The sequence below is a fragment of the Homo sapiens genome, chromosome 2 (assembly GCF_000001405.40).
Source record: "Homo sapiens chromosome 2, GRCh38.p14 Primary Assembly".
Taxonomy (NCBI): domain Eukaryota; kingdom Metazoa; phylum Chordata; class Mammalia; order Primates; family Hominidae; genus Homo; species Homo sapiens.
In genome coordinates, this window is record NC_000002.12 from 202,601,170 (window position 1) to 202,623,774 (window position 22,605).

At 41.2% G+C, this 22,605-nt stretch overlaps 8 pseudogenes, besides 1 other annotated feature; 7 read left to right on the top strand and 1 right to left on the bottom strand.

Annotated features, from left to right (window-relative positions):
• Positions 8,537-8,776: an enhancer, noted in NCBI's record as "active region_17002". NCBI's record gives its function as "activates an Ori minimal core promoter by ATAC-STARR-seq in GM12878 lymphoblastoid cells {active_cell/tissue: GM12878}" and the evidence as "EXISTENCE:reporter gene assay evidence [ECO:0000049][PMID:35858748]".
• MTCO1P17 (MT-CO1 pseudogene 17) lies at positions 13,045-13,535 on the top strand (annotated as a pseudogene).
• MTCO2P17 (MT-CO2 pseudogene 17) lies at positions 13,684-14,360 on the top strand (annotated as a pseudogene).
• MTATP6P17 (MT-ATP6 pseudogene 17) lies at positions 14,600-15,271 on the top strand (annotated as a pseudogene).
• MTCO3P17 (MT-CO3 pseudogene 17) lies at positions 15,531-16,043 on the top strand (annotated as a pseudogene).
• MTND3P17 (MT-ND3 pseudogene 17) lies at positions 16,115-16,458 on the top strand (annotated as a pseudogene).
• Positions 16,526-16,818, top strand: MTND4LP17 (MT-ND4L pseudogene 17; annotated as a pseudogene).
• MTND4P30 (MT-ND4 pseudogene 30) lies at positions 17,428-17,682 on the top strand (annotated as a pseudogene).
• On the bottom strand, positions 18,016-18,727 carry MTCO1P54 (MT-CO1 pseudogene 54; annotated as a pseudogene).

Genomic DNA, 22,605 nt, shown 5'->3' on the forward strand with positions numbered 1-22,605 from the left:
TGGGGATGATATGGATGAGTTTTCTTTGTTTTATTTCTATATATTGCTTAACTGTGCATTTAAATTTTCCCATACTAAGTCTTTGAAGTATATATAGATATATAGATATAATAACAATTATTATTATTTTTTGAGACAGGATCTCACTTTGCCACCCCAGCTGGAGTGCAGTAGTAAGATCAGGGCTCACTGCAGCCTCTACCTTCTAGGCTCAGGTGATCCTCCCACCTCAGACTTCCAAGTAGCTGGGACTATAGCCACATGTCACCACACCTATAGGTATGAGCTCAGAGCCTGATAGGGCTATTCTCAAACTTGAGGAGAAAATTTTAAAATGGGGTTGGTTCCCAAAAAGAAAGGAGGGTGACTGTGTCCAGAAAGGTGGGGTGGGAGGAGTGGACAGGGCAGCTCTGAAGGTACTTGCCTTTTTTCCTAGTTATTGTTTTGTCACTGGCCACCTTCATTTTTCACTGAATTGAGTCTTCCACATGAAGAAGCATATCATCTGCAAAGATCTCTGTGATTTCTAGCTTTGGAGGCAGAGAGTGTCTATTTATGTCTCATTTTTTGTACAGATGAGGTTTCACCACCTTGCCCAGGCTGGTCTTGACTTCCTGGGCTCGAGCAATGCTCCCGCTTCAGCCTCCCAAAGTGCTAGGATCACAGGCGTGAACCACCATGCCTGGCCAGTCTTTGTAATATTTTAGAAGAACCCCTGCCCCCAGCACACACACGCACAGACACACACCCCAAAAAAAGAAAGAAGAGGGAAAACTCCACGCCATGCCTAAACCATGTTTTACAGAACAGTTTTCTAGTCATGTAGTTTTCCTTTAGCTATTTCTGCTTTCTAGCTGCAAATGAGAGTGTCAGTGGGATATGAAAGCTTACTTAATGTTCATAACTGTTTATATTTGCCCCTATATAGTAATGTCCTGTTCATTAACGTGCAATGGAGTGCTCGGTGTACTTTTATTCCTTTTTGGAAGCTCTTTGGAAAGGCTTTTGCTTAATCATAGGACATTGCTGAAGCCAATGACATTATGATTGAATGATTCATCTTGGTTTAAGACTTATGATCAGACAGGCTCTGAGCTCTATTCTCCAACCTGGGGAGAAAATTTTACAATAGAGTGGGTTCTCAAAAGGAAAGGAGGGTGACTGTGTTCAGTGTCCTGATCTCTGTGATTTCTAGCTTTGGAAGCACAGGGTGCCTATTTACGTCTCATTCATGAGAGAATTGACTGCAGGCGTTTTTCTCCTAAAGTCTGTTATTTCTTTAGAGGCTGGGCCTACCACTCCAGTTATATTCCTCTAGTCCAGCCCTTCCTCTACTTCTGTAGCTTGGGTGATTTATGCACAAAACAGGCAGCGTTTGAATAAAAGGACAACATCTACGTCAAGACACAAAATAATTAGAGGTTAGCTGTGTACATGATTCTACAAGCTAAGCTTTCACTTTGTATAATATACCTGCATGGCCATTGAAACTGTTGTTGGTGAAGTGAAATGCAGCCACTCCCCTGGTTGTTACATGGAGTGGTGACAGATTTAGCCTCACTATACCTGCATAAGTAGGTAGTATACAACAATAGCAGAAGTTGAAATTTTAGTCTTACAATAGAAGGGGTAGCTGGCATTAAGTACCTTGTTTACACCTCTGATAAGTCTTGAGAATGTCTCTAGAACTGAGAATCCTCTGCAGAAATGAGAGTCTAAGCTCTGGGAATATCGTGAGATTCCCAGGAGGGGTTGCTATGTATAGTGAGGGTTGAAAAAAAAGCTCAAGGACAAGATCCATATTTACGGACAGAAAGCCAACAAAGAATACACAGTAGAAATGGGGCCACGGTGGCTCACGCCTGTAATCCCAGCACTTTTCGAGGCCAAGGCGGGTGGATCACCTGAGGTCAGGAGTTATAGACCAGCCTCGCCAACATGGTGAAACCTCGTCTCTAGTAAATATACAAAAATTATCCAGGCGTGGTGGCACGAGCCTGTAATACCAGCTACTCTGGAGACTGAGGCAGGAGAATCACTTGAACCCAGGAGGCAGGGGTTGCAGTAAGCCGAGATCACACCACTGCACTCCAGCCTAGGGGACCGAGCAAGACTGTGTCTCAAATAAACAAAAAAGTATACACAGTAGGGCCGAGCGCAGTGGCACACGCCTCTAATACCAGCACTTTGGGAGGGCGAGGAGGGCGGATCGCGAGGTCAGGAGATCACGACCATCCTGGCTAACATGGTGAAACCCCGTCTCTACTAAAAATACAAAAAAAATTAGCTGGGTGTGGTGGCGGGCGCCTGTAGTCCCAGCTACTCCGGAGGCTGAGGCAGGAGAATGGCGTGAACCCAGGAGGCAGAGCTTGCAGTGAGCCGAGATCGCGCCACTGCACTCCAGCCTGGGCGACAGAGAGTGAGACTCCGTGTCAAAAAAAAAAAAAAAAAAAAAAAAATACACAGTAGAAATGAGAGAAAGGCAAAAGGCAGGAGGAGAACTAGGATAGTGCTGGAAATGCTCCACAAGAGATAAAAGACAAAATTTCAAGGAAGAATGGATGCGCAACAGTGATACAGGTTTCAAAGAGAGGCAGAAGGAACAGGTCAGTGGGCTGTTTGTTAGGCAATCTTTGAGAAACTTGGTTGTTTGAAAAGTAAGTTAGAAAAGCCAGAAAATAAAGGTTATTTTGTTGAGTGGAATTAGAGGATGAAGAAAACTTTCAGGAAGTTTGTTAGTAACATGAAGGTGAAGAGTAATGGTGAAATATATTAGAACAAAGTTAACTTTCAGAATTTGTGTTCAGGTTAAGAGTTTTTGCAATTGAGTCTCTTAATTATATACTAGTATTTCATCCTTTCATTTTCTTTTTTTGCATATTATATAGCACATACTTCATACGCCACTTCTTGCCCTTGGTTTCCCAAATTAACAGAAATGCTCACGCGGATATGTCCATGTTCATAGCAAAGCAATGAGGATGCACTCCAGATTCCTGGCATTTTGCTTTGACCCAGGATCAAATTTGAGGCAATGACGGTGGCACACGCCTGTAGTCCCAGCTACTCAAGAGGCTGAAACAGGAGAATCGCCTGAACCCGGGAGGCAGAGGTTGCAGTGAGCCGAGATCATGCCACTGCACCGCAGCCTGGGCGACAGAGTGAGACTCCATCTCAAAACAAACAAAGAACAATAAATATTTGTTCGATTGAATTCACAATCAACTATTTGCTCGTCACCCTTATTTTATATATATCTTTCTAATCTAGGATATGGTAAAATTATATTAGTATCATGAGGATTGAATATTGCTCTAATATTATTCTAAAATATTAGTGATGAAAGAGACCTTAGAAATCATTTACTATACAGTGGTTTCATTTTGCAGATAGGAAAACTGAGGCACAAAGATGTTAAATGACTTGTCAAAGCGGCAGAGCTAGAGCCAGGAGAATCCAGGTCCTCTTGATTCCTAGTTTGCTACTAAACACCGCTAAGCCGTGAAGAAGGTTGCTTCTGCTTTACGTTATGCTACATTTTTTCTTTCTCTCTCTTTTCGCATGCTTTTTTTGTCCCACTTGAACATGAGATCAACATGCAAATCAGAGAACCTGAAAAATTTGAGAAAAACAGGGACAGTTGTGTTGTGACCCAGTATACAGGGAATGGAGGTATGATAACTTCCTCTTTCTACCAAGTTATCAGGTTTACTCATGTTTCCTGGGCCTTAGTTGAACGTGAGAGCCTTTCCCAGATATAGGCATCTTTTCTCGTCAGTGGATGTATTAGAAAGGCAGGAGACCAGAGCTCTGACCTGGCTCTGTTATCATTCCTGTGGTCTCTAGAAAGTGACTTTCCCTCCCTGGGCCTCAGTTGCCTAATTTGTAAAATATGAGACTTGGATTACATGAGTTCAAAAATGTTTTCGGCTCTAAAATCCTATGATTCTACCTTCTGAATTATGAAGGATTTAATTTTTTTCTACCTTCCAAGTAAAAGCCATACCTAAGCCTCATGGAATTTGATCACCCCTACCTTTTCCTGTGAATGTTAACAGGCCTTCTCTGCTCTGTTTGCTATAATTGGAATGATTTAGTTCTTATTTCAATGGTTTCAATGATTGTTTTCCATTTGTCATTCTACCAAAGAAGTAATTGGCACAATGATTAAAGGTGATCTATGACTCAGATTTTCTGCTGGATCCCTTTCAAGTGTTACTTCGCAAATCTCTAGACCTCCTCCCCTCTATGTCTCACTCATACAGAGTTGGATACCAACTATGGATCTGATTTTTTTTTTTTAATTTTAATTTTATTTTATTTTATTATTATTATACTTTAAGTTTTAGGGTACATGTGCACAATGTGCAGGTTAGTTACATATGTATACATGTGCCATGCTGGTGTGCTGCACCCATTAACTCGTCATTTAGCATTAGGTATATCTCCTAATGCTATCCCTCCCCCCTCCCCGCACCCCACAACAGTCCCCAGAATGTGATGTTCCCCTTCCTGTGTCCATGTGTTCTCATTGTTCAATTCCCACCTATGAGTGAGACTATGCGGTGTTTGGCTTTTTGTTCTTGCGATAGTTTACTGAGAATGATGATTTCCAATTTCATCCATGTCCCTACAAAGGACATGAACTCATCATTTTTTATGGCTGCATTGTATTCCATGGTGTATATGTGCCACATTTTCTTAATCCAGTCTATCATTGTTCAACATTTGGGTTGGTTCCAAGTCTTTGCTATTGTGAATAGTGCCGCAATAAACATACGTGTGCATGTGTCTTTATAGCAGCATGATTTATAGTCCTTTGGGTATATACCCAGTAATGGGATGGCTGGGTCAAATGGTATTTCTAGTTCTAGATCCCCGAGGAATCGCCACACTGACTTCCACAAGGGTTGAACTAGTTTACAGTCCCACCAACAGTGTAAAAGTGTTCCTATTTCTCCACATCCTCTCTAGCACCTGTTGTTTCCTGACTTTTTAATGATGGCCATTCTAACTGGTGTGAGATGGTATCTCATTGTGGTTTTGATTTGCATTTCTCTGATGGCCAGTGATGGTGAGCATTTTTTCATGTGTTTTTTGGCTGCATAAATGTCTTCTTTTGAGAAGTGTCTGTTCATGTCCTTCGCCCACTTTTTGATGGGGTTGTTTGTTTTTTTCTTGTAAATTTGTTTGAGTTCATTGTAGATTCTGGATATTAGCCCTTTGTCAGATGAGTAGGTTGCGAAAATTTTCTCCCATTTTGTAGGTTGCCTGTTCACTCTGATGGTAGGTTCTTTTGCTGTGCAGAAGCTCTTTAGTTTAATTAGATCCCATTTGTCAATTTTGGCTTTTGTTGCCATTGCTTTTGGTGTTTTAGACATGAAGTCCTTGCCCATGCCTATGTCCTGAATGGTAATGCCTAGGTTTTCTTCTAGGGTTTTTATGGTTTTAGGTCTAACGTTTAAGTCTTTAATCCATCTTGAATTAATTTTTGTATAAGGTGTAAGGAAGGGATCCAGTTTCAGCTTTCTACATATGGCTAGCCAGTTTTCCCAGCACCATTTATTAAATAGGGAATCCTTTCCCCATTGCTTGTTTTTCTCAGATCAGATCAAAGATCAGATAGTTGTAGATACGCGGCGTTATTTCTGAGGGCTCTGTTCTGTTCCATTGATCTATATCTCTGTTTTGGTACCAGTACCATGCTGTTTTAGTTACTGTAGCCTTGTAGTATAGTTTGAAGTCAGGTAGCGTGATGCCTCCAGCTTTGTTCTTTTGGCTTAGGATTGACTTGGCGATGCGGGCTCCTTTTTGGTTCCATATGAACTTTAAAGTAGTTTTTTCCAATTCTGTGAAGAAAGTCATTGGTAGCTTGATGGGGATGGCATTGAATCTATAAATTACCTTGGGCAGTATGGCCATTTTCATGATATTGATTCTTCCTACCCAGGAGCATGGAATGTTCTTCCATTTGTTTGTATCCTCTTTTATTTCCTTGAGCAGTGGTTTGTAGTTCTCCTTGAAGAGGTCCTTCATGTCCCTTGTAAGTTGGATTCCTAGGTATTTTATTCTCTTTGAAGCAATTGTGAATGGGAGTTCACTCATGATTTGGCTCTCTGTTTGTCTGTTATTGGTGTGTAAGAATGCTTGTGATTTTTGTACATTTATTTTGTATCCTGAGACTTTGCTGAAGTTGCTTATCAGCTTAAGGAGATTTTGGGCTGAGACAATGGGGTTTTCTAGATATACAATCATGTCATCTGTAAACAGGGACAATTTGACTTCCTCTTTTCCTAACTGAATACCCTTTATTTCTTTCTCCTGCCTAATTGCCCTGGCCAGAACTTCCAACACTATGTTGAATAGGAGTGGTGAGAGAAGGGATCTGATTTTCTTTTGCTTCTTTTTTTTTTTAAGATGGAGTCTTGCTCTGTTGCCCAGGCTGGAATGCAGTGGCACAATCTTGGCTCACTGCAACCTCTGCCTCCTGGGTTCAAGTAATTCTCCTGCCTCAGCCTCCCAAGTGGCTGGGATTACAGGCACCCACCACCATGCCCAGCTAATTTTTGTATTTTTAGTAGAGACGGGGTTTCACCATATTGGCCAGGCTGGTCTCAAACTCCTGACCTTGTGATCTGCCCACCTCAGCCTCCCAAAGTGTTGGGATTACAGGCATGAGTCACCACGCCCGGCCTTTTGCTTCTTTTGGAATTAGGAGGGGGGTCATAGGATGTCCTCAGGATCAGAGATCCAAGGAGATATCTGGAAGGAAGAATGTGTTCTCTCGGTAAAGGAAGGGGAAAGCTGCCATGTTGCTGACTTTGCTATAGCAGATGACAAGGAGTTAATTGCAGCCTAACTCCTCTCCTCATTGTGGGGGTTACTGGCTTTGCAGTGTCTTGGCAAAGTCTCATAGACATGTCATGGCAGCCTATCCCTTGCTTTCTTCTGTCTACATGCCTACACACCCAGGGATGGAGAATCAAGAGATCAGTTTTCTGGCTGCCATTGAAAGGATGCTCTGTCAGAAGCAAAGGCTTGACTTATTCTGAAGATTACCCTGATCTGCAAAGCTGCAGAATGCATAGTTATTTGTTACCTGGACTTAAAGTAAGGCAAGGCCCAGTGTCACATTACTTTGCCTCTAACAGACCTTTCTTGCAATGACTGTTTCATGCCATCAGTCACTCAACATTTACAAAGCACTTACCTTAGCATGAAGGAAAGGTTGAAAAGGAAGAGAAACCATGATCTCAGGGATTGAAGACTGAAAAATTGCTGTGAGAATAGAGAATGCTCAGAAACATTAAGTACTATAAAAACAAATACATATTAACATAATACATAGTATTTCCAGAAATATTTAGAAATTAATTGCAATGATCAAACCTGGATGGAGTTAATCAGAGTCATGGCACCCAGTGGGATGACTTAGAACCATGAGGGGAAGTTAGATAACTTGCTCTAGATCATGCAGCTGTAAAAGAGGAACTGCAGTTTGAATCCAGGCACTCTGGCTCCAAACTTAACATCGTACTAGATTGCGTCTCTGAAGTCAAAGAGCAAGGAAAGAAAACTACCCTAGTGCAGTTGTTGAGAGTATGACCTCTAGACTCAGACTCCCTGGGATTCCATCCTGCCTCTAGCATTTACCATACACTCCTGGACAATCCACTTACCATTCTATCCTTTCTTTTCCTTATCCATAAAAATGGGGATAATAGGCTGGACGCGGTCACTCACACCTGTAGTTTCAGCACTTTGGGAGGCCTAGGTGGGCAGATCACGAAGTCAGGAGTCTGAGACCAGCCTGACCAACATAGTGAAACCCCATCTCTACTAAAAATATAAAAATTAGCTGGGCGTGGTGGCATGCGCCTGTAATCCCAGTTACTCAGGAGGCTGAGGCAGGAGAATTGCTTGAACCCGGGAGGCGGAGGTTGCAGTGAGCCAAGATCGTGCCACTGCACTCCAGCCTGGCAACAGAGTGAGACTCTGTCTCAAAAAAAAAAGAGGGGGATAATAGTAACTGTGTATGAAGTTGCTATAAGGTACAAATGTGGTATATAGTGTGTAAAGTGTGCAGCCCAGTGCCTCAGACATAGTGATTGCTCAATAAATGTTAACTATCAATAAAATGATTATTATCATCCTATTTCTAAGAACCTGAAGTCCTACCAGGATAGTAACTCTAATTGCCAGAATAAGAAGGGGAAGTTTGGGTTGAGGTTATTTTCCAATCAGAAGTCCTTGAAGGAAAATCATGTCAGAAGGGAGGGAAAGGAAAGGAAACCAAGACTCTGGTTAGTGTAGACCCTCTTGGGTTGTGGACAAGAGAGTATGGGATTGCCATTTTATTAGTAACTTATACATTGTGCATGAATTTAACTTCCCTTTTGGTTTCCTCTTTTCATCCTCACTATTACTAGACCATGCATATATTGAGAAGTAATCTATGCTGCAACTCTCCCTCAGAACTGTACGTACTTAAAATCAAGTTAGTAGAGATTTTGAAAGGACTGTGCTTTAAAGAAAACACAAAAAACCAGTAACATAATAGATGATTGTCCTTATTCATAGGTCAGGGAGCCACTAGTCCACTGCAGCTCTTTTCTCCTAGAGAGATCTTCAAGAAGAGGTCTTTGTGCCCCATATGTAATGACTACTTAGGAGCTGAGTCAAACAAAGAGTCTTATTTTAGTTTTCTAAATACCAAGTCTGGGCAGGCCTGTGTTTTCGCTACATGGGAGGAGTCAAGTATCTTTTCACTACATGGGAGGGGTAAGTGGTTAAGTTTTTTCATATGTTGGCTGCCTAAGTCATTCTGCTTGGTACCGTGGCTCAGTTAGTTTTGTCAACTGACCAAGGACTATATAAGTGAGGGCAAAGCTACACCCCACTGTGTGTAACAGGAAGGAGTGACATGGCACTCTGCCCTTTGAATTCATTGTGTATTCTGGGCCTGGCTAAGTGATATTGAGAAAAGATAGCAGTAATCTTTGGTAACATTAGTGCTCTTAAAACCATTCACTCACAAATATTTATTGACAATAGTAGAACATCTGTAAAGAACACAGTATCTTGCAAATAGTAGAAGATCAAATTTTGTGGACTATAAACCAATGTTTGGGCTGTACATTTGCCAATATGCAGCATTTAACTACATTTCTTCAAGCAAAATTCAACTATATCTTCAGAGTAAAGAATAGGAGAAAAGGAATGAATTAGATACAATGTCGTTTGGATGTATTTTTCTACATTCAGCTTCCCCGCTATTAAGAAATCGCAGCTCCAGTTCAGCAGTGGTAAAGTGATTGCTATCACACAGCAATGAGTGGTGTCTGTGAGCTCATGTTGAGCAGTTGTTACAGAATTTGAAAGGGCAAGGCATATTTCATGTACGAGTCCTCAACTATCTCCATCAAGCTGTCACCATAGAGACTGAGAACTTAAAGACTTCCTTTCAATCATCTTGGAAGGGAAATGTCTATTTCTGGCTGAGGCTTGGCCTCTCTGGAGAGGAGTTTATAAAGCATGTCTTACTATCTGCTACGTAGTGAGGAATTTAGGACAAAATTTGGAGTAACCTTATGGGGTAAGATAATCAGCACTTTTAAAAAAAAGGAAAACCTACTTAGATTAGCGTAGAGCTAGATCCTATAAGTCGGTTGTGACGTGGATAGGATTTAGGTACTCTGGAAATCACTAATCTTCATGTTTTGTGACATATAGGTTATGGGAATGGTTAGGGTTATAATCCAGTTATAACCCAGAAAGAGGTAGGCAACCTATAGGACAATCACCACCCTGGGATTTTCTGCAAACAGTTGTCATAAACTTAAATATCAGTTACCAAAGATCATATGGTTTTAGCAATTTTTTTTTTTTAGCTGCTACTTCCTTTGGTCCTTATAGATAGATAAGACCAAGCACCTCTTCATAGGTTTCCATTTTTTGTCTCTACTGTAAGACCGATCAAATGGTTTTTAAAGTAATCTAATTTTGTTTTCTAGAAAGATGAGAGAAGTTTAGTCTTTCAAATAGCCTATGTTAGCACTGATTCTCAAGCCAAGTAGGACCCATGGAAAAACAGGATTGCTTTCAGTCTGTTTTACCTCTTGGAACATTAATTCCATAAGGAAAGCACTTCATTAAATTCTGCTGACATAGAAAGCTTAAAAAATGTGTTTCTTGGTTCTTTTTAACTATACTAAACTTTTTTCTTTGGGCTGGCCTTGGTGGCTTACACCTGTAATACCAGCACTTTGGGATGCCAAGGCGGGAGAATGGCCTGAGCCCAGGAGTTCAAGACCAGCCTGGGCAACAAAACAAGACCCCCGTCTCTACAAAAAACCCACAAAACTTATCTGGGCATGGTTGTATGTGCCTGTGGTCCCAGCTACTTGGGAAACTGAGATGGGAGGATTGCTTGAGCCCAGGAGGTTGAGGCTGCAGTGAGCCAAGGTCACACCACTGCATTCCAGTCTGGGAGCAAGACCCTGTCTCTAAAAGAAACAAAACAAAAAACAAGCCTTTTTCTTTGGATGCTTCCAAAATTGCATTGGAATCCATTAAATTTTAAAATGCATACCCTTGGGTATCACAATTTCACTTCAAGGAATTTCTTCCGGACAAATATTCCCATTAAACGAAAGTCCATTCTGAACTTGAAGTGCTCAGGCTAATTCCTGCACTTGGCTCCAAGAATGCTAGGCAAGAGACTGGCAAATTCTCTTCTGGAAAAAAATCAACAGCACAAGAAAGCACATTCGGGAGTCCTACAATGAGGCAAGTGGATCCCACTTGATGACTTCAAAGTGAAATCTACAAGAGGACAAGTATTATTTGAGTATACGGAGGTAATAATAAACTATTACGTGAAAGTCACTTGACATCTGAGGAATGCCTCCATCATGAAATCAGACACTAAAACAATGGAATTTAGAGTAAACAAAGACAATGCAGGAAGAGAAATAAATTATGAAACATAAACAACAATGGAATGCTATGATAAGAAAGAATTATCTGTAGACAAATTCTATATGATTCCACTTATATGAGGTAGAGAAAGAGAAAGAATGGTGGTTGCCAAGGGCTGGGGGAATGGGGAGTGGGGAGTTATTGTTTAATGGAGAAAGAGTTTCAATTTTGCAAGAGGCAGAGTTCTGAAGATGGGTGATGGTTGCACAATAGTATTAATGTACTTCATGCCACTGAAATATATACTTAAAATAGTTAAGACAGTCAAGTTTATGTTGTGTGTATTTGACCACAATACAAAATTAGAAAGAAAATGAATAATGGGAGCTCTTGGAAATGAAAAATATGATTGCTGAAATGAGAAATTCATAGACAGTGTGGAAGATGAAGACGAGGAAATTTCCCAGAAGGTAAATTCAAGAGATGACATATAGATGGAAAATAGAGGACAAAGTTAAAGGATCAGCCTGTAATCCCAGCACTTTGGGAGGCTGAGGCAGGAGAATTGCTTGAGCCCAGGAGTTCGAGACCAGCCTGGGCAACATAGCAAGATGTGTCAATATTAAAAAAAAAAAAAAAATTTAAAGTTAGCCAGGCGTGGTGGCTCACATCTGTAGTCCCAGCTACGTAGGAGGCTGAGGCAGGAGGATCACTCAAGCCCAGGAGTTGAGGCTGCAGTGAGTTATGATGACAGAGCAAGACACTATCTCTAAAAAGAGAGAGAGAAATATCGTATCAGAGTCCCAACAGCAAGCCTAATTCAGCACATTAGCACATGGTTGGGATAAAGAGATTTTTATGAAAGGACTATTTACGGGAGTGTGAGCAGCAAGGATTAAGGGGACAAACAAAGGTGGTATAGTGTCCAGGGACCAGCAGCAGTGAGAAGCTATTACACTCCCAGGGCTGAAAGTGCAAGGGGAGGAGGCCGTGTAAATGGGGTCCAATAAGAACTAGAGCCAAGGAGGAAGGACCTTCCAGTGATAGGTATAGCTCGTGCCTGAGAGATGGGGCTCTGCAACAACAACAAGACAAGAAAGCACATTCGGGAATCCTACAATGAAGCAAGTGGATCCCGCTCGATGACTCCAAAGTGAAATCTACCAGAGGACAAGTATTATTTGAGTATACGGAGATAATAATTTGAGTATACAGGAGAAATATTCTGACCTCTCTCTCTTCCTGTGATCTGATCTGATATTGGCCAGACCTAACCAGAAGGAAGACTGGGTGAGAGTCTATAGTTCATATAGTCTATAGTCATCCTCTCAGGGTAGGGTAGGTCTAGTATGGGAAAGAACTAAATTATCAAAGAATAGTACAATAACATTTTCCCATCTGAAAAACATCTGGTGTCCATCCTAGGGAATTAAAAAAAAAAAAAAAGCCTTGCACGAGGCAGAACATAATGAAATTTCAGAAAAATATTAACCAAGAAAAGATCCTAAAAGCTTGCAGAGCGGAAAGAAGAGCTCATATGTAAAGGATCAAAAACCAGAATGGCATTGGATTGATCATCAGCAGCACTGAATGCAGTATGACAATGGAGCAATGTCTTCAAATTTCTGAGGAAATTTTCTTTTCTTTTCTTTTCTTTTCTTTTCTTTTCTTTTTTCTTTTCTCCCTCCCCTCCCCTCCCTTCCCCTCCCCTCCCCTCCCCTCCCCTTCCCTTCCCTTCCCTTTTCTTTTCTTTTTGAGACGGAGTTTCGCTCTTGTTGCCCAGGCTGGAGTGCAATGGTGCCACCTCAGCTCACCACAACCTCTGCCTCCTGGGTTCAAGCAATTCTCCTGCCTCAGCCTCCCGAGTAGCTGGTATTACAGGCATGTGCCACCATGCCCAGATAATTTTGTATTTTTAGTAGGGACGGGGTTTCTCCATGTTGGTCAGGCTGGTCTTGAACTCCTGACCTCAGATGATCCGCCTGCCTCAACCTCCCAAAGTCCTGGGATTACAGGTGTGAGCCACCATGCCCTGCTGGAAATATTATTTTCAAGCCAAATTGTCAATTAAGTGTAAGGGTAGAACAAAGACATTTGCAAACATGCAATGTTTCAAAAAATTTCACAGTGGGAGGTTTAACCGGCATCGTACTAGCTAATTCATCACTAGATATTGTCTTACACGACACATATTATGTTGTAGGCCATTTCCACTATGTCCTATCAATAGGCGCGGTATTTGCCATCATAGGAGGCTTTGTCCACTGATTCCCCCCTATTTTCAAGCTACACACTTAATCAGACCTATGCTAAAATCCACTTCACCATTTTATTTATAGGTGTTAATTTAACTTTTTTCCACAGCACTTCCTTGGTCTATCCAGTATGCCTCGATGTTACTCCGATTATCCTGATGTGCACACCATGTGAAATATTATCTCATCCATAGGCTCATTTATCTCACTAACAGCAGTTATACTAATAATATTTATAATCTGAGAAGCCTTTCCTTCAAAATGAAAAGTACTGACAATTGAATAACCATCTACTAATTTAGAGTGGCTTTACAGATGTCCACCACCCTACTGCACATTTGGAGAGCCAACTTTCGTGAAAGCCTAAACAAGAAAGGAAGGAATTGAACTTCCAGAAATTGGTTTCAAGCCAATCCCATAACTTCTATGACTCTCTTGATAAGATGTTAGTAAAATTATTACATAACTTTGTCAGAGCGAATTTATAGGTTAAATCCTATATGTCTTAATGGCTTATCCAGTTCAATTAGGCCTTCAAGACACCACATCCCCTATTATAGAAGAACTACTCACTTTCCATGACCATGCTCTTATAATTATTTTCCTAATTAGTTCCCTGGTCCTAGACATCATTTCCCTAATACTCACAACAAAATTAACTCATACTGGCACCATAGATGCTCAAGAAATCGAAACTGTGTGAACTGTTTTACCTGCCATTATCTTAATTTTAATTGCCCTCCCATCCCTACGTATTGTGCACATAATAGACAAGGTTAACAATCCTTCTCTTACTGTCAAAGCAGTTGGCCACCAGTGATATTGAAGCTCTAAATATACAGACTATGAAGAGTTAGGCTTTGATTCTTATATGATTCCAACAGCAGACTTAAAGCCAGAACTTCGACTCCTTGAAGTTGATAACTGAACAATTCTCCCAACAGAGATCCCTGTCCATATATTAATCTCATCCGAAGACATCCTGCATTCATGAACTATCCCCTTACTGGGCCTCAAAACAGATGGAATCCCCGGACGCTTAAATTAAACTACCTTAACTGCTACATGTCCAGGCCTTTACTATGGACAGTGCTCAGAAATTTGTGGGTCTAACCACAGTTTTATACTTATTGTCCTAGAATTAACCCCCTTAAAATGCTTTGAAACCTGATCCACGTCTGCACTATAATATCACTGTAAAGCTATCTAGCATTAACCTTTTAAGTTAAAGATGGAGGGGATCTGCACCTATTTGCAGTGAATGCCTAAACTAGATACTTCCACATGATCCATTGTCATCCTGTCAATAATCGTAACTTTATGCTCCATTATTCAGTTAAAATTATCAAATTTCATTTATTATACAGCCCCTATACCAAAAACAATCAAAACCCAAAAACATAAAGCCCCCGAGAATTAAAAAGAACGAAAATCTATTCACCTCTTACTACCCCGACAATTCTAGGTCTACCTGCAGTAGTATTAATCATTTTATTTTCCCCTGTACTATTTCCAACCTCCAGTCATCTAATCAGTAACTGATTGATTTCCATTCAACAGTGACTAATTCAACTTGTACTAAAACAAATAATAATAACCCATAATATTAAAGGATGAACCTGATCCCTTATACTGATCTCCCTAATTCTCTTCATTGCCTCAACCAATCTCCTTGGGCTTCTACCCCATTCATTTATACCAACTACCCAATTATCAATAAACCTAGGTATAGCAATCCCCTTATGAGCAGGCACAGTCATTACAGCCTTCTGCTTCAAGACAAAAACCTCCTTAGCTCACTTTTTACCACAAGGCACACCTATACCACTTATCCCTATGCTAGTGATCATTGAAACTATTAGCCTATTCATTTAACCAATGGCACCAGCTGTGCGATTAACAGCCAACATTACAGCTGGAAACCTGCTAATACATTTAATCGGAGGAGCCACACTAGTTCTGTCAACTATCAGTCTTCCCACAGCTTCAATCGCTGTCATTATTCTAATCCTACTAACCATCCTCGAATTCGCCGTAGCCCTCATTCAGCCTACGTCTTAACACTGCTAGTAAACCTTTACCTGTACAACAACACATAATGACCCACTATACACATGCCTACCATATAGTCAAACCCAGCCCCTGACCACTAACAGGAGCTCTCTCATCTCTCCTAATAACATCTGGCCTGGCCATGTGATTTCATTTTAACTCTATCACCCTTTTAACCCTGGGCCTACAAACCCACACACTAACTATATACCAGTGATGATGTGACATTATCTGAGAAATTACATTTCAAGGCCACCACACATCAATCGTCCAAAAAGGCCTCTGATATGGAATAATTCTATTATTATCTGAGAAGTATTTTTTGCTGGTTTCTTCTGGGTATTCTACCACTCTAGTCTAGTCCCAATTCCAGAATTAAGGGGACACTGACCCCCAACAGGTATTCCTCCCCTCAACCCCTTAGAAGTCCCCCTCCTGAATACATCTGTATTACTTACATCAGGATTTTCGATTACTTGCACTCCACTGCCTGATAGAAGGTAGTCGAAAGCAGATACTTCAAGCACTATCAATCACAATTACCTTAGGTATTTACCCTTCTACAAGCCTCAGAATATTTCCAGGCCCCCTTTACTATCTCTGATGGAATCTACAGCTCAACATTCTTTACAGCCACAGGCTTTCATGGATTTCATGTTATTATTGGATCAACATTTCTCACTATCTGCCTCCTCCACCAATTAAAATTCCACTCTACATCCAATCACCACTTTGCCTTTGAAGTTGCCGCCGGATATTGACACTTTGTAGATGTAGTATGACTATTCTTATATGTCTCTATCTATTGATGAGGGTCCTACTCTTTTAGTATAAACAGTACCATTGACTTCCAATCAATTAGTTTCCATAATATCCAAAAGAGAGTAATCAACCTGACACTAGCCCTAGTAACCGACACCTTACTGGCCCTATTACTAATAATAATCGCATTTTGGCTTCCACAGCTTAATATCTATATAGAAAAATCCAGCCCCTATGAATGCGGATTTGACCCCTAGCCTCCGCCTGCCTCCCCTTTTCCATTACATTCTTCCTAGTAGCCATCACATTCCTCCTCTTCGACTCAGAGATCGCTCTACTACTACCCCTGCCATGAGCCCTTCAAACAACCAACCTGACACTAATGATCAGCACAGCCCTTATACTAGTTACCATTTTAATCCTAGGCTTGATTTATGAATGAGCCTAAAAAGGATTAGACTGTGTTGAATTGTAAATAGTTTAAGTCAAAATAAATGATTTTGACTCATTAGATTATGGTAGACCATATTTACCAAATCCCTGCGATTTATATCAATATTATATTAGCATATACCATACCACTGCTAGGAGTATTCATCTATCGATCCCACCTAATATCATACCTATTATGCCTAGAAGGCATAATACTATCAGTATTTATCATAAATACTCATAACTTTAAATATACATTTCACTCTAGCATCGATAATACCCATTATTCTCCTAGTATTTGCTGCCTGTGAAGCTGCAGTGGGCCTTGCCTTACTAGTTTCAATCTCCAGTACATATGGTCTAGATTATGTACAAAATCTAAATTTACTTCAATGCTAAAAATTATTATTCCAGCAATTATACTGTTACCAATGGCATGGTTCTCTAAAAATTCTATAATCTGAATCAAGATGGTTATCCACAGCCTACTCATCAGCCTCATCAGCCTACTATTTTTTAACCAATTCAATGATAACTCATCCAACTTCTCATTAGTTTTCTCTTCTGACCAGCTGACATCACCCCTTCTAATCTTAACAGCCTGACTACTGCCTCTTATAAGTCTAGCAAGCCAATATCACCTGTCCAATGAATCACTCCCATGAAAAAAGCTCTATATTTTTATATTGATCTCCCTACAGCCTTTTTTTTTTTTTTTTTTGAGACAGAGTTTCGCTCTGTCGCCCAGGCAGACAGAGTGCAGTGGCGCGATCTCGGCTCACTGCAAGCTCCACTTCCCGGGTTCACGCCATTCTCCTGCCTCAGCCTCCCGAGTAGCTGGGACTACAGGCACCTGCCATGGCGCCCGGCTAATTTTCTGTATTTTTAGTAGAGGCGGGGTTTCACCATGTTAGCCAGGATAGTCTCGATCTCCTGACCTCTTGATCCACCCGCCTCGGCCTCCCGAAGTGCTGGGATTACAGGGGTGAGCCACCGTGCCCGGCCCCTACAGACTTTTAAAATCCTAACATTCACAGCCACAGAACTAACTATGTTTTATATCCTCTTTGAAGCCACGCTAGTTCCTACCGTAATTATCATCACCCGCTGAGGCAACCAACCAGAATGCCTTAATGCAAGCTCATACTTCTTATTTTACACACTAGTAGGATCCCTTCCTCTACCTGTAGCATTTGTTCATACTTAAAATACCTCAGGTTCACTAAATATGCTAGTAATAATACTTACTACCCAAGGGCTATTAACCACCTGATCCAACAACCTTATTTATCGTTGAATTGGTTAAAATATAGTAGGCTGATGAGACCGATAAGTAGGCTGTGGATAACCATGTTGATTCAAATTATAGAATTTTTAGAGAACCATGTCATGTGGATTGTAAGATTGCGTAGGCAAACAAAAAGTACCGCTCTGGCTTAATGTGTGGTGGGGTGTTGAAGGGGTTGGCTAAAGCGTAAATACCTGGGTCGCCCAGGAGGTCAGGTGAAAATAGTACTAGAGTTATTAGAAGGAGGAGGAGAAAAATTAAACCTAAAATATCTTTGGTTATACGGTAGGGGTGGAAGGTAGTTTTATACCAGAATAAATGCTGGTACAAGATAGGGTCACCCCCGCCAGCAGGCTCAAAAAAATTAGTGTTGAGGTTACGGTCAGTTAATAGTATAGTAATCCCGGCGGCTAGGACTGGAAGAGAAAGGAGTAGAAGGACTGCCATAATGAGGACTGATCAGACGAAAAGGGGTGTTTGATACTGGGACATAGCTGGGGGTTTTATGTTAATAATAGTGGTAATAAAGTTAATGGCTCCTAAAATAGAAGAGGCACCTGCCAAGTGGAGCGAGAAGATGGTCAGGTCCACAGAGGCTCCTGCATGTGCTAGGTTTCCTCTTAAAGGGGGATAAACCGTCCAGCCGGTTCCAGCGCCGGCTTCTACTATTGAGGATGCAAGTAGGGAGCAGAAAAGATAGAGGGAGAAGTCAGAAGCTCATATTATTTATCCGGGGGAATGCCATATCGGGTGCACCAGTTATCAGAGGGACTAGCCAGTTCCCGAAACCCCCAATTATGATTGGTATCACCATAAAGAAGATGAAAACGAACGCGTGGGCAGTAACAATAACATTGTACATCTGATCATCTCCTAGTAGAGTTTCTGGTTGGTCTAGTCCTGCTTGAATTAGGAAGCTTAAGGCGGTGCCTATTATCTCCGCTCTTGCGCCGAATAGCAGGTATAGTGTTCCGGTGACTTTGTGGTTAGTTGAAAACAATCAACGATTGATGAACATAGGTCGGGGGAGCGGGTAAAATGGCTGAGCAAGCATTAGACTGTAAATCTAAAGACAGAGGTTAAGGCCTCTTTTTACCAGCCCTGAGGAGATTTTTCATGTTGAATTGCAAATTCGAAGGTGCAGCTTCAATCCTGCTGGTTATTTTTATAAAAAATTAATCTTCTATATGCTCTTTCTTAGGAAGCAATTATAAAACAAAGGAATAAACAAGCAAATAAAAAAGGAAGACCCTGGGTTGAGGGAACGTGGGATACATGCACAGACAAGTGTAGGGAAATGCCAGGAAATCATAGGATAGCTATACAGAAGTCCTAGAACATAATCGAGTTCAGACAGAGCAGGAGAAAAGAAGGTTCCATTTGGTTGCCTTTAAGGGAAAAAACAAACCACTATCACTTTCAGAGAGATTTAACAATTCTTTTGAGGTTTTGGGAAGGGCAATGAAAATAAGCAAATGACTACTGTAAAAAATCATCCCTGGCCTGGCGTGGTGGCTCGCCCCTGTAATCCCGGCACTTTGGGAGGCGAGGCAGGCAGATTGCCTGAGGTCAGGAGTTCGAGACTAGCCTGACCAACATAGTGAAACCCTGTCTCTACTAAAAATACAAAAGTTAGCCGAGCGTGATGGTGTGCACCTGTAATCCCAGCTACTCGGGAGGCTGAGGCAGGAGAATCGCTTGAACCCAGGAGGTGGAGATTGCAGTGAGCCAAAATCAAGTCACTGCACTCCAGTCTGGGTGACAAAGCGAGACTCTGTCTCAAAAAACACCAAACCAAAACAAAAAAATCATCCTTCTAATAGTATTTGTTTAAACTGTGTATGTAGATTGCTTTTATACAACATTAAAATTTAAAATATTCTCTCAAGAGTGAAAAGATATAAGTGTAAAAGTATCATAGACCGTTGTATGTAATGGTGTGTCCATTAGCAGGAGACTGGTTAAATTATGGTACTGCCAAATGATAGAATACTATGTATTCTTTAAAGGGAATGAGATAGACTCTAGATGTCTACTGAGTCAAAATATGTCCTAGATATATGTTTAAGGGAAAAAAAAATACAGGTTTCAAAAATTATACCCATAATGTGATCCTTTTTTTTTTTTTTTTTTTTTTTTGAGACAGAGTTTCGCTCTTGTTGCCCAGGCTGGAGTGCAATGGCACGATCTTGGCTCACCGCAACCTCTGCCTCCTAGGTTCAAGCAATTCTCCTGCCTCAGCCTCCTGAGTAGCTGGGATTACAGGCATGCACCACCATGCCTGGCTAATTTTGTATTTTTAGTAGAGAAGGGGTTTCTCCATGTTGAGGCTGGTCTTGAACTCCTGACCTCAGGTGATCCGCCCGCCTTGGCCTCCCAAAGTGCTAGGATTACAGGCGTGAGTCCCCGTGCCTGGCCGATCCTATTTTTTTAAGTAAAAAAAAGTCTTATAAATGTATATTACATTATACATAGAAAAATGAAAGGTTGGGGGAATTGTGGAATTTTGTTTTCTAATTTAATAATTTTTATATTGAATTGTTTAGGTGAGAATGGACTTCGTGTACTCAGAAAAAAATCAACACAGATGAATTTCTAATATGATTACTTTGGACTTATAAATCAATTTTTCCATAGCTTCTGTTAACAATATTCATTCATCAAACTATTGTCTTGGGTATTAGAGAGACAGACATGAATAAAATATATTTTCTGCCTTCAATTTTATCACACTCCAGTGGAACAGTTTTTAAAGTACTCTGTGTTTCAGGGGTGCAGTATATGTTTTGATCTGAATTTCATTTTCAAAACATATTTTGCTTTTCCTGAGACAGTGTCTTGGTCTGTCGCCCAGGCTGGAGTGCAGTGGTGTGATCATGGCTCCTGCAGCCTCTGTCTCCTGGGCTAAAAGAATCCTCTTGTTTCAGCCTTCTGAGTAGCTGGTACTACAGGTGTGCACCACCCTGCCTGGCTAATTTTTTGATTTTTTGTAGAGATGAGGTCTTGCTCTGTTGCTCGGGCTGGTCTCCAACTCCTGAGCTCAAGCGATCCTCTTGCCTTGGCCTCCCAAAGTGCTGAGATTGTAGGCCTGAGCCACCGTGCCTGGCCCAAAACATATTTTAAATATTTAAAAACCAATAATAAAATTCAATTAATTTAATATAATAAATTTTATTTTATTTTATTTATTTATTTTTTCAAGACAGAGTCTCACTTACTCTGTTGCCCAGGCTGGAGTGCAGTGGAGTAATCTCAGCTCACTGCAACCTCCGCCTCCTGGGTTCAAGCGATTCTCCTGCCTCAGCCTCCCGAGTAGCTGGGATTACAGACATGCACCACCACATCTGGCTAATTTTTGTATTTTTAGTAGAGACTGGGTTTCACCATGTTGTCCAGGCTGGTCTCAAACTCCTGGGTTTAAGTGATCCACCTGCCTCTTGGCTTCCCAAAGTGCTGGGATTATAGGTGTGAGCCACCATGCATGGCCAATATAATAAATTTTAATATACCAGGGCCACTACTAGTTAATATCTGCTGACAGTGTTTGGTTTTTTTTTTTTGTTTGTTTGTTTGTTTTTAGATGGATTCTCACTCTGTTGCCAGGCTGGAGTGCAGTGGCGCGATCTTGGCTCACTGCAACCTCTGCCTCCTTGGTTCAAGCAATTCTCCTGCCTCAGCCTCTGGAGTAGCTGGGACTACAGGTGCGCGCCACCATGCCCAGCTAATTTTTGTATTTTCAGTAGAGACAGGGTTTCACCATGTTGGCCAGGATGGTCTTGATCTCTTGACCTTGTGATTTACCTGCCTCGGCCTCCGAAAGTGCTGGGATTACAGGCATGAGCCACTGCGCCTGGCCAATATTTTCTTTATGTAGACTTCAGTGTTAAATTTTTCCTGTCACTTTAGAGCATATATTTGAATTTATTGTAAACGTGTCATTACTTAAAAAGGTCGTAGCTTTACATTGGTTTGTTTCTTTTCTTTTCTTTTCTTTTTTTTTTCTTTTTGAGATGGAGTCTGGCTCTGTCACCAGGCTGGAGTGCAGTGGCAGAATCTCGGCTCACTGCAAGCTCCGCCTCCCGGGTTCATGCCATTCTCCTGCTTCAGCCTCCCGAGTAGCTGGGACTACAGGTGCCCACCACCATGCCTGGCTAATTTTTTGTATTTTTAGTAGAGACAGGGTTTCACCGTGTTAGCCAGGATGGTCTCGATCTCCTGACCTTGTGATCCGCCAGCCTTGGCCTCCCAAAGTGCTGGGATTACAGGCGTGAGCCACCATACCCAGCCTGGTCTATTTCATTAGCGCTACACTCTAACCAACTGAACTAACCAGCCAGCTAAACTGTTCTTTTTAAAATCCAGGTCTGCATATGTCTCCTTAGAGAAAAATCTCCAGGTAACTACACAACCACAGCTTCTGTGTGCTGAGCACAATTAAACATCTAGCAAAATTCATCAGTTTGATGTACATTCTTATGTACAATAACAAATACATGGATAACATGTCAGGTAAGGTAGATAGGGTTTTGCAGATTCTTCAATTTAGAGCTTTATACATTTTCAGTGTTTGCCTGAATTTTGTAAGAAAGCATGTGAGCAGTTGTCTGTTTTTGTGAACCAATTTTTAAAACATTTATCATGGCTGCTGAAATAGATACAAAGTAACAATAGAATAAGGAACCACCCTATACTTGTCACCCTGCTTCAACAATTATCCATATTCTGCCATTCTTGTAGCATCTATATCTCCATTTGATCTCCTCTTTATTATTATTTTTTCCAGTATTTTCCATTGCTCCTATTTCAAGTCTGAATCTGCCTAGTTGCAGAGCAATTAAAAGCACACCGTTGGCCACGCGTGTGGCCCATGCCTGTATTCCCAACACTTTGGGAGGC